A 12720-nucleotide genomic window follows, 5' to 3' on the forward strand; every position below is an offset into this window, starting at 1 on the left:
CAGGAGGGGCCTCTGGGCATAGTAAGTCCACATTCATTGAATTACATGTAAAATAAACCACATCTTTTATTTCCTTGGCATGGACTATCACTGTTTTTGTGTTCTTTGTAAAGTTCCATGAAAAACAAAGTTACAAGAGCCACAAGAAACTTGAAGATGGTATGCACATCAGAGAAGGGAGAGACTGAATCCAGCTAGTGGGACAGTGTCTCCTTGTGCAGAAGGGGTATCTTAACTGAGCCCTGATAGAAGGATTCGGGACTGGGGTGGGTCTGAGCAGAAAGGGCATGTCAGGCCAAGAAATAAATATAAGCATAGACAAAGGGGTGAGGACGTGCACTTGTATGTGAAAAACAGTGAGTAGTGCTGCTTAATGGAGCATTTTGTAAGTACCAATTAAAGATAAATCATGAGTGTCAGATCAACAGGAAAATTCCGGTGAGATATAACTCAAGCCCCCAAGTTTTATTTTCCAATGAGGTAGTTTGATGTCCTGGCTTACCCAGATCCTTGCTTCTCCTCACCATTTTGGTAAGCTCTGCATCAAGGCAGGCAAAAGCTTAGAAATCTTTGCCTCTCCTGTTTAGGACACCTTTGATGTTCAGCAGGTCCAGGTGAGATCATGGTAACTCCGAGAAGTAATGGGAGCCTGCATTTGCAAAATGCTTGTCTTCACAGTTCTGAGTGTTTAATTAGTTGATTCTCACATCTTCAATTGCACAAGGGCACCTGAATAATGCTCACCACAGCATCGGCTTTCTCTATGAGGTATAGAGGGTAAGTGTTTGAACAATTTTCAGAGTGACAGAGCCACAATTTCCCTCTCAGTGTTCAGTGATTTCACTACTTCTTCAAATTTATCCAGACTTGCTAAAGAACTGCACAAGCAGTTGGTATCATATTATTTTTCATTCTCCTCTTCCTAAAAGTTACCAAATTTTCATCATTTTAAGGACCTCCCGGAAGAAAAGAGATTAAAAGATGTTCTTAGCTTACAGACCTCTTTCTCTATATTTTTTCTTTCTGTCTTTACTCCTCTGCTTGTCTCTATTTCTGTGTTTGTTTCTTTGCCTGTCTCTATCTCTGTTCACTTTTCTCCACTCAGGATCTCTGAGACGTGATGAAGTGGACTGCATAGGAAAGAATATTTGAGAGACAATGAGGAGAGCTGAGACCTAGGTGCCAGTGCCAGCTTTGCCACTTAATAATTGGACATCACCAGAGAAGTTGCTTAGCCTTTCTGGACGCTGTTTTTCCTGAATGTACAGCAGAGTTGCCCACAGATTAGGGAGGCAGGGTGACGTCATGAAGAGCAAGAAATTCTAGTTGGGATCAAAAGACCTAGGTTCTCCTGTGGTCCCTGTCAAAGCAACCTTGTGGCCCTGAGCAAGTTCTTAAACCTCCTGGCATCTCAAGTTTCTCACCTGATAGAATGAAGGTAACACAAAGCTCTAGAGAGAGAAAAGAGGGAGTAATCAAGCACGGAGCATCACGGCTTTGCATTCAGGCAGGCTGGGGTTCAATTCCCACTCATTACTAGCCATGTGTTCTTGGGTAAGTTACTTAACAATAATAGTTAATATTCCTCTTGCATGTTTCACATACCAGACACTATCCTAAACATTTCTTTGGATTATCTCAGTGATCCTTCCTAATGTGATGAGGAGGGTGATATGATTTTATTTATTTTATATACAAGGGAATGGGGCTCCGGGAGGCTTGGGTAACTGCACAAGCTCAAAGAACTAGGCCGTGGCAGAGCAGGGATGCACGTCCAGCTCTTCTCACTCCAGAGCCCACACACTTTGCCACTGGGCTATCATGACTCTAAGTCTCTGTTTGGGCATGGCAAGTCCACAAGTAAAATTACTTGTATAATAAGTGCTAAATAATTATACAGTTATTGTGAGGATTGAGATGCTACATACAAATGATTTACCACGTGTCTCATATAATTCTGTAGTAAATGTCAGTATGTATATATATTCCACCTTAAATATTTAACTTTGGAACATAATGGGGTAAAATGTGTACACTGCAGGTATGTGAATAAGTGGTTTGCAACATTTTACGTGCTCTGCAAGGCACTGTCATGATGACACTCTCTAATGTTCCTTCTAGCTCTTAATTCAGACCTTTGTGACTCATTTTCTCTAGGTTATCAGCTCCAGCGGAAGTTCCCAGGCCACTTTATGCAGTGATGATGAGTGTTTCCAGAGCACTTTGACTTCTGTATTAATTAAATGTGAGAAAACATAGATCTCCATGGAAAGACACCTCTGTGGTTTCTTTTTAAACTCTGTACTTCCACCATACCTTGCAGCTATACCACTCAGAACAACCTGCATACAGTATTCTATTTATCTTCAGAATCATGAGTCACAGACTAGTTATTGAAGTTGGGTCATATGTTCTGAAAAGGAAAGATGTATCTTGAGAAGAAAGGGAGGAGAAAAGTGAGTCAAGAGGCTTTGAATAATTCGTTCAAAGGTCACAAGTACAAGGCCAACCTTTACCCATGTATTCCTTCACCAAATACTTATTAAGCCCTTATGCAATACTAAGCACTGGAGAAACAAAGTCAGGTATGCCTTGCTTCCTGTCCTGGAGGAGGGGAAGAGAAAGGGTTCTCAATTTATTGCTTGCTTGTTTTGGGTTGAGCACTGGGCTAGGAGTTAGTTGGGGTGACAGGCCAAAATTGTTACCAAATGGAATGACAGCTTCTGGAATTTCAGTCCTGCAGTACATGTGCGGCCAGCAGGGAAAGTGTCCCAACAGCTATTGTCAGATCTTTCATTGCCAGCCTTAGAGAGGAGGATGATCAAGTTTTCTGCTTCCTGTGTTGTCTTAATCCATGTGTGTGTATCTGTTCAATTCAATGGCTAAAAGCTCAGGAAATCTTAAAGGTCTGGAGTGTAGAGCCACCTCGAAGGCTGCCACAGGTGCTAAAACCTGGCAGACCTGGCCTTCCTCATGCAGATGCAGGAAGGACTCTCTGCAGCAGCCCTGGCTTGGCTGACAAATTGTAGGACAGACTTTTAGGACAGGCTGCCCACAGTATTCCTAAACATGGGTCTCACCACATTGCCCCTCTGCCCAAAACCCTTCCATAACTCCCCTGGCATAGAAAAGAGGCAATGTCCTGAGATGGGTCTTGAGGCTGTCCTCTGTGGGGTGGCCCTAATCTGTCTTTGTAACATCCTTTATCACTCAACCACCGGTCCCTGACATCTCCAGCCATACCTCATCCCACTTCCTCCTTTCAGGAATTTTTTTTCCTTTTGCTCACACAGTTTCTCCAATCAGCTAAGGCTTAACTCAAATGCCTACTGTTCCAGGAGACCTCAGATCTTCCCAAGTGGAATGAATCAGTCTCTCCTCTCCCTTCTCACAGCACTTTGCTGACACTTCTGAAATAGCACAAAGCACAGCCTGCCTTTGATTATGCCTGGTCATGAAGGCACATTCCTCAAGTACGAGACTTGGTCCTCGTGGACTCCTCCTCAGGAATAGAGCCTTGCTCATGATATGTACTAATAAGGGTTTGTGGAATTGACTAGCAAACTGTGAAGTGTCTACGGGGGCTCCAGTGCCTGTGTGGTCATTGGCTTGTGCACCTTCAGAATCATTCTCCTGCTCTGCTCTGGATTGCAGAGGTCTGATCCTTGCAAACCATGCTTTCCAGGCTCCTTTGCAAACCACATTTCCCAGGGTCCTGGCTCACATTCTGAGATCATATCATATAGGCATCAGGAAACCTAGATGCTAATTCTGGCTCTGACCCTAGGTATCTTTAGGTAACTCACAAAATTTCTTTGGGTTTTAGGTGGCTCTTTAACAAAATGAAAATGCTGAATTGATATTCTATAAGAGCCTGAGCATCTATCTATCTATTCTTTTGTCCATATACTCATGAAACATGTATCGAGCCCTTCCCCTGTGCCAGGTGACAGAGATACAGAGGTAAGCACAGCATGGCTTCTACCCTCAGTAAGCTCACCCTGGAGCAACAGAAGTACTTTTAGAAGGAAAATGATGTAAGTGGGCATATTCTTTAGACTAAATGTGTTCTTTAGTCTGCTGGGGGAGGGGGGTTGGCAGGGTGGACAACAGGAGCCAATTTCCCAAGGGCAGAACAAAAGCTATGGATAGAAGTCAGAGAAAGACAGATTTCATCTCAGGATGACAGCGTGGATTTTCTAACAATTAGAGGAACTCCACACTGCATTATAAGGTAGTGATGTCCCTGTCAGCAAACATATTCAAGAATGAGCTGGATGAATCCCTAGCAGGTAGCAGAGAAGCACTTTCCTGCTTTGGGAAGATAGAATAGATAGTTCTTAAGACATTTTCTTAATTCTAGGTTATTCTATGATTCTAAAAGTCAATGTTTCCATGCTTCAAATGTGTTTGACATCCTTTTAAAAAAGTAGGAAGATCTTATCTTTTATTTAAAGATAAGATCTTTATAAAACCACTAAAATTGAAGTTACTGTGGTTAACGTGCAGGGACCCACTCTCTTAACCTTCCCCTCAGTTCCTACAAAAAATACAGCTCCAGCCCCCCACGTCCTCCTGTCTCCCTGGCCTTGCAGCCTGCACATGCAGTCCCCTTCTGCCCTGTCTGCCCTTGGCCGAGAGAGGTTAAGGATCCAGCTTGATGCCATGGGACTCTGCAGCATATGGCCCTGACTCCAGGGCTGGCTCTGACTTTGTCACACTCTGGTGCTGGGCTGCCGGCAACTGCCTCAGCCTCCTCGTCTCCACCTTCCTGACTCTTAGTGGCCTGCAGTCTCTATCAAGGCACCAGATCACTTCTCTTCCTTCCTCATCCTCCCCGACCCAATCCTCTTCTTTTTCCCCAGCCATGAAGGCCTTCATTATTGTGCAGGAACTCACATTTGCTATGTCCTCTGAGCCAGGCTTAATGCTCATGTTTGATCCTCACATCAAAGCTGAGAGTCCAGCATTAATATCTGTACCTATGTCACAAATTTAGCTTCAGAGAGGGCAAGTGACTTGCTCACAGTCACTCAGCTGGGAAGCAGCTGAGTTGAGTTCAAACGATCTGGCTCTGCCCAACCCTGGAGCCTATGTTCATTCCACACTCAGTGGCAAGCTGGTCCCTCTGGAGCCTGGGCCCTGCCTTGCTCTTCCTGGGTGTCCTTTCAGGTGGCAAGACCTCTCATTGCTCCAAGACGAATTTCCCACCTAGTTTTCTTGAGTTTCAGCTCTGAATTCCATTTTATCTTAATTTACTTATATACTCTGACATTTATTAAGCCCTCACTCTATACTAGGAATGGTTTTAAGCACTTTACATGCATTAACTTATGTAATCCTTTTGAAAGACCTGTAAGGTAGGCATAATTGTTCACCTATTTTACACTTAACAAAACTGAGGCCCAGTGAGGTTGGGTAACATGGTTATACAACTATAAAAGGGCAGAGCCAATCCACACCTGGGCATCTGGCTCTAGAGCCTGATTTCCTAATAACTAAGTCACTGTATACAGAATTTTACCTGGCTGACTTATGTCCTTTCCACCACCAGCAGCTGAGATGGTAAGATTCAGTAACACTGGGACTCCATCTGACTTAGTAACTGCCCCTCCCTGAAGGTGTCAAGGTTGTAACTACTCTACATAGCTGCTTTGACATGGGGACATTTTTTATTCAGGCTGATAAATAAATAAATAGTGAAGCAGGTGTGTGTGTGTGTTTGTATTTGATGGAATGGAGAACAGGGGTATCTCTGCATCCATTACTTGGTAAGACACAATTTTTTCCATTTCCACCTAGCCATATCAGAATGTCTTGCTTTGTTTCAGTGAATGGCTGAAGGTATAGGCTAAGAAATAGATTTAATCTCTTGTTCCAAGTTTGGTTGATTTATGGTGGCTGCTTGGAGCCACAAGTTGGGAAGGATTCTGAGGTCACATTTGGTCCCAGCAGGAAAGAGAGCCATGATCTATTAATAATGTCTGCCATGAGCAAGAGAGGTGAAGGTGATGCACACAAGTTGTTTATCTGACATTCATGAACTGATTTCTTATCCTGACTTCCTGACTCTTTCTTGTCTGTTATATCCTTAATCAGTTAAGTGTGGCCAACCCCATTCTTATTGTAAGATGTGACCTGAGTTTTGCCAGGATCTCCATCCAGTTCCTACATGGATGGCCTTGATATGAATATGGTGTAGAATGGGGAGATAAGAAGATGGGGATAAAAGCATTCTTTGGGTAGTATATTTTGTCTTGGCATTCTTTCATAATTCAAACAGAACGTAGAAGTTTTCATTAATAGCTTGGAGAATCAGTAAAGATCTTTCTCCTCAGTTATTGGAGACATGGCTATGAGATTCTTCCCTATAGCACTGTTCTGTATCCTATCCTGCCAGGAGTCATAGCAAAAACAACAGCAGCTCCACAGTTTGCTCTGGACTCCGTTTCTTCCCAATGCTCTTGAACAGGTCCTGGTGGGTTGTGTGATCTGCAATGTTCTTCCCTCAGGTCTTCCCAAAGCTGAGTTTCCTTATCTTTCAGGTCTGAATCCCCATGACGCTACCTTAAACAGGCTTCCCTTCAGCACCTTACCAAATGATGTCTTCCTCAGTCATTCTCTATCATACTACCTTATTGTATTTTATTCTATTCCTATCTTGCATCATTGGCTTGACTTATTTTTCTCATTGATTTGCTTACTTACTAGGTGTCTGCCCCTTCATGTTTGTAATGCAAGCCCTGTTTTAAATTTTCTTGTTCACCCCTCTTTTCTAGTGGTTTTGACCATCTGGCATAAGCAAGACAATGTTCTCTTGCAGTAAAATGGATCTTTAGAATTTCTTGTAATTCAAATGCTTCTCTGCTTTTGAAGATCTTTTCCCGTGATGTGTACTCACCTGGCCTCCAGCCTAAGTTTTCCATCAGATCTGTCACATGCTGGAAATATCAGGTCTATGGTAGTATACTTTCTGAGAGTGAATTGTAGCTCTTCACTCAGGCAAACTTCATGAACAAAGCCTAGGAGTTCCATGAAGGCAGGAGCCCTTGTGCCCAGTGTTGTCCACACTGACTTTCTCGATACACTCCTTTGGTCATATCTCTTCCATATCCTTTCCAAAATCTTCAGTGATTGCTCATTGCCCAGAGACTAAAAGTCTAAGGTCTTTAGAGTAGGAACTTAAGGCTTTTCAGATCTTCCTGGCTCTTGCTCTTTCGACTCAACACAGGAATAAACCTTGGCTTGTTCCCTGAACATGCCTGGCATGCATTCTCTCCTCCATGAGGTTCTTGCTCAAGCATCATTCCTTAGGCAGTCTGCCTTAGTTTCCCTTATCTTAGAACAGATGACTGTCCTACGGGCCCCTTGCAGCCTGACATTCCTGCACACTCACACATGATTTTGAAATATACTGTTTATGTGCATTATCCTAAATAATAAGCCTCTTGGGGACAAGCATTATTTCTAATTTACTTTTGTATCCTAGTAATTAGCAGAGTGTCTAGCCCAAATTACAGAAGTATGAATAGAATCACTCCATCATTTTTTACAAATAAAGAAACTAAAGTGCACAGCGTAAGTGTGTCTTGCCCAAATCCACATAGCTAGTTGCCAGGGGAATCAAGACTTGAACATCAATTTTTTATACTTAGAGAGTACACACTCAAATGTCAAAAGGGGCTGATTACATAAGGGCTAAAGCATATTAATAAAATAGAATTGAAAGTGGGGGTCCTGTCTATCTAGGAGAAGCTGCCCATCAGCTCCAGAGGACAATGTTCAGGTGGGCATATTGGTCCAGCTCTTCCACATAATCAGGTTACAAGGAAAAAGTAGAAAATATTATTTGTATGTGACATCTCACAAAATTTTTCATTTTTCCAACTAGCTATAATGAAAACTACTTCATGGTCTAAGCACATTCCCTCTGTGAGCCAGATGAAGCTTCAGCCTGCCAATTAGTGACCTGTACTCATTTCTATAGGACTCCCTTGAATACAGTATCATGGGTCAAGGAGCTCAGACCTGTAGAATGAGAGAGAAGTTCCAATTTCCTTTGTGGCTGACTTATTTAAAGCCACTGATATTGGGCTGATCTTAGAGCCTTCAAGGTGAGTGGGACGAACACCCTCGAGTTTCACTTGAATGCTCTGGAGCTGTGTCAACTCCAAATGACAGTTTTCCTGGTCATTAAAAATGACCAAGAGTGCGAATGATGGTCTGCAAATGGGCTTTGCTGTGGATAAATGCAAATCAATACAAATTATGAAAGGGGCCCTGTGATGGATTGGCTGGCTGTCAAGAAAGATGAAACGCTGAAGGATTATTGTGTGTGTGTGAAGGGGAGCATATTTCTCTGAAGGCCTGGCTCTTTGGAAATGGGGTGGAGGGTAATGTTCAGTCTTAGAGGAAATGATCAGCTCTGCCTTAATGTAGGTACTGAGAGCGAGGCAATGGGAGTTTTGGCCACATTGACTTGAACATTCATTTATTATGATGAAATGAGCTAGTATTGACCTGGAGAACCTAATGCATAGTATCAGCATATTAATAACAGGTCATTACATGCTATGTCTAACTGCTAGGGTTGAAATGATTGCTGTCCTTTCAAATATCAAGGAAATGGTGTCATTTAGATTTGCAATTATTGCTCCCAGGTTATCACGACTACTTTCAAATTAGAGTTCAGGGAGTAAAGGAGAACAGCATGGAGTCAGCATGGGTTTATATCATAAGTTCACTATTATTAGACTTATATCCTTGGGTATATTGCTTAAACCATCTTCGGTCTCAAGTTTATAATTTGTAAAATGGGGATAACATTTTCTTCTTAGGTGTGTTGGCAGATGGCATTTGTAAATACACCTTGCACAATGCCTGGTAAAAACTTGATGTTGAATGTATGTTCATTTCCCTTCCTCTATCAATTCCCACAGCACTCTGTCTGAGCCATGTTTAGGACTTCGTTGGCTTTCTACCTGAATTTCTCTAGTCACTTCTGTCCATATAATCCTTTGTTAGGCAATGAATTATCTCACAGCTGAGTTTTTAAAAATGTTTTATCTTTTCATCTTCCACAGGGTCTGCCCACAGTAGGTACCCAATTAATATTTGTGGCATTAATGGATCCACGACTAAAGGCACAAGGGCTGTGGAAGTCTTGGTCAGCATTTTCCCTGCCAGTCATCTGTGCCATGAAGTTGCTCTATTATAGCAGGCCAAATGAATCAGGAAAAGCAGGTGCATCTGCTGCTCCTGGTGCATGTAAGCTTTCCTAACTCATCACCTGTTCTAAGTGTGGACTAATGGCGGCTGAGATGCAAGTAGAAGCTATAATTTCTGTGACTAAGAGTGGAAGATAGAACATAGTAAACTTCCTTGAATACATGACTTCTGAGCTGGGCCACATAATATCAGGGAGATTTTTCTAGGTAGAAAATAAGAAATGACATTCTAGGCAAAAGAAACAGTCTGTGCAAGGGCAGGAGGTATGAAAATAGAGGATGTGTAACTACACAAGGGAACTGGAATTTTTTGAGCACCTACTATATGCCAAGAGCTTTTTTTCTGTTACCATATTTCATTCTCTAACTCATCTTGCTTGGGAAGCATTGTCCTTCCTATTTTAAGGGGAGAAAAAAAACTGTGCTAAATGTTTAGGAATTTGTTGAGACCACATAGCACAAAAGTGGCTGAGCTGGATTTTGAACCTAGGCCTGTCTTACCATAACCTTTTCCTTCCCATGATATGTGGTGAAGGACAGGAAGTGGAGGGCTAAGGGACTAGAATTAACTGACAATTCCCCAACATACTATTGTCAACTTCAACCCTGAAGATGAGAACAGGTGTCTGCTCCTCTGAAACTGTATTCTTTTCCAGTTTTGAAAATTTCCCATTGGCTTGAAAAGTGATCCTCAAATTTTCAGAAAGGAATGAGATCGGGCATGTGAGGAAAGAGATCTATTTTCATACACGGGGCTTGTTTCACTTTGCAAGTTGTAGCCAAATTGCCTGAACTATTTTCATACTTGGATTTCAGACAACTTGCTGAGATCCATATTATCTGATTCAGGATGTCTTTGTGCAAAGTCTTTTGATTTTATCAGGTGCATTTCACTCCATCAAAGCCCAGGCTATTTGCCCTGGCGATGCCTTGAAAAACTGGGTTTGCAGTTTGAATCGGAGCTGGAGAAAGGCACTTCCACAGGTCGTGTGAGTCCACGTGCATAACGGCTCCTGATAGAGCATCCCTGGGGACTGATTTGGGGGACCATCTTTTATCTGATGCAATGATCTTTTGGATTACATAGGCCCCCAAGTTCTAATGGCAAACCGAATTGTCACACTATCTTTTTCTTAAGTTAAGCTCACTGCTTGGAGTGACTTTATTAAATTAGATGTAGAGATTTCATTCAATAAGGGCAGGTAAATAAATGGATACTCAGCAAAGCATATGAAGTCAACAGAGCGCCTACCCTTTTCAGGAGAGCAGACTTTAAGGACAGACAAACTGAACTTAGAATTCTTCTTCTCCCCTTTCTAATGTGTGACAATGGGTGAACATTTCAACTACTATACAGCTTTGTCTCATCAACAAAAATATAGGATTAATAATACCTTCCTGTGAGATTTACATGTAATAGCATTTGTGAAGCTCTAAGTACATTTCCTGGTATATACTGCCCCCACACCCCAATCCCTATTTGGGAAAAAAGTAAGTTAACAAGAAATAAAGTGTTATTTTTATATCAAAACAAAGACATGCTTTATGCAGTAGATATCAAAATTTACATGACATTTTAGCTTAAATAAAAGAAAAAAACAAATTTCAAGCTTGCAGCCATTGCTTTGAGCTAAGCCTCAAGACCTCTAGAGAGAGAGAGTTTTGTCTTTTGAAGGGATTTGGTGGAAGAGTTCAAGTGCAGCTATGGTCCAGTCTTCCAACCTTTGGTGGATGAGTTCAAGTGCAGCTATGGTCCAGTCTTCCAACCATTGATGGAAGAGTTTAATTTGTGGCCTCTGATTCTGTTTACACATTTAGGTATCCTTTTCCTAGATAGAATGTTAAAATTGTCTCTATGAATAGTTACACAACCACTTCATTGAATCACAGGATTACACAGAACTCAAAGGAAGCTTTTATCACACCAGATGCATTTTACTCTACCTGCCACATGCCATAATGGGCTCAGATAAGTTCTGGAAATTGGTCTGCTGCTTGGCAAGAGACCCAGAGACAAGCATTTCCACAGGTAACCATAGTTCAGGCACGAGGTGGAACTTGTTTAGGGTCTAATGGCAGGAATAGATACAATGAAATTTGTGACAATCTCAGTGAAAATGTGCTTTCCACAGAATTTAGATGGGCTTTTGAGCCAGTCTCATATTAATGTTAAGGGGCAGGGGACTCATAGGTGATCTCTTGGTCACACAAATGTTTGATATAATAATTAAATGTGGAGACTCAGGAGTCTATGTTGGATTTCATATTTTGGTTTGGAAATATTGGCAAGTTACTTAACCACTCTGAACCTCTGTTTCCTCCTCTGTAAGATAGGGCTTATATTAGTAGTTACTTCATCAGGCTGTGGTGAGGATGAGATAGGAGAAGAACAGAGCTCTCAGCATGGAGAGTGGTCCGTGACAAGCACTCAACAAATAGTAACATACCTCCCCACACCCCCCAACTACTAATACTTCACCTAACCATAACAACAACATATGGCTGATGGTATTCCTCCACATCTGCAGCACTCTGTACTCGTGTCTCACTTAAGATTCTTGTTGTATTCTCCTTTGAACCAGTGGTGTCCATGTCCTGTCTTCTCCAAGCCACCTTGAGCACAGTGACCTCAGCCAATTTTTCACTGTGCACTTCCAGCACTGGGCTATCCTGTTTGGGGACTCTGGACAAACCCCTTTTGCTACCTGTGTCCTCACCCCCAGACAAAGAGCACTTGGCCATGGCACTTCCTTTCTCTGGCCACCAGTTGCTTCTTAGTTGAACCTCTAGACCTAACACTTGATGCTGATGTAACAGATTATATCTCAGCCTTTCCAATTTAGGCAAAGCATGTTTTGAAATGTGAGTGAGAAATTGACTTTAGTTCTCTATTTTAGTATGGTTAGTGGTTTATACTTGTATCTGGGTCATTCAGTCCTGACTCATGGATACTTTTACTAAGATCAAATCCACACCCAGATCACTCATGAATTTTTCTCTGCAGCCTGAGCCACAAGGCATGCACCAGATCTCAGCTCTGGCAGTAGCATTCAAGACGGGTTTCAGAAATGCCATTTCCTTCCTGTTGATGAGACGGGGCTGGTTTCTTGGGGAACTCCAGGCTGCCAGGACATCTCCGCAGCCCCTTTTCTATCATAAGAGTGGGCAGTTTGTGTCATGAGGAGTGAGAAGTGGAACCCTTAGCTCTATGTTCTGGCTAAAGATCCTCCTTTTCTTCTTTTTAGGGCCTGAGGAGGGAAGGAGGCGCCTGTAAAGCTGTGTTCTCTGTATAAAGCCCTTCACTTGGAGGAAAAAGAACCTGCACCTGGGCCTCTTTCTGGAACTCAAAGGTTAATCTCTGATGGACTCACTAGGTCATCTGCAGGAAAGGTCCTGGCATGCAGCAGGAACTCAGAGAATGGCAGCTTTTAATGATCAGTGCTGATTCTCATTGGTAACCCTTCAAAGTTGAAATAATATTATAATTCAATTT

General features: G+C 42.3%; 1 annotated feature.

Annotated features, from left to right (window-relative positions):
• Window positions 1568–2767: an enhancer, noted in NCBI's record as "P300/CBP strongly-dependent group 1 enhancer chr11:79326940-79328139 (GRCh37/hg19 assembly coordinates)". NCBI's record gives its function as "activates an origin of replication core promoter dependent on BRD2, BRD4, P300/CBP, MED14 and CDK7 cofactors, with strong dependence on P300/CBP, by STARR-seq in HCT116 cells {active_cell/tissue: HCT116}" and the evidence as "EXISTENCE:reporter gene assay evidence [ECO:0000049][PMID:35650434]".

The sequence above is a fragment of the Homo sapiens genome, chromosome 11 (assembly GCF_000001405.40).
Source record: "Homo sapiens chromosome 11, GRCh38.p14 Primary Assembly".
In the NCBI taxonomy this organism is placed as follows: Eukaryota; Metazoa; Chordata; class Mammalia; order Primates; family Hominidae; genus Homo; species Homo sapiens.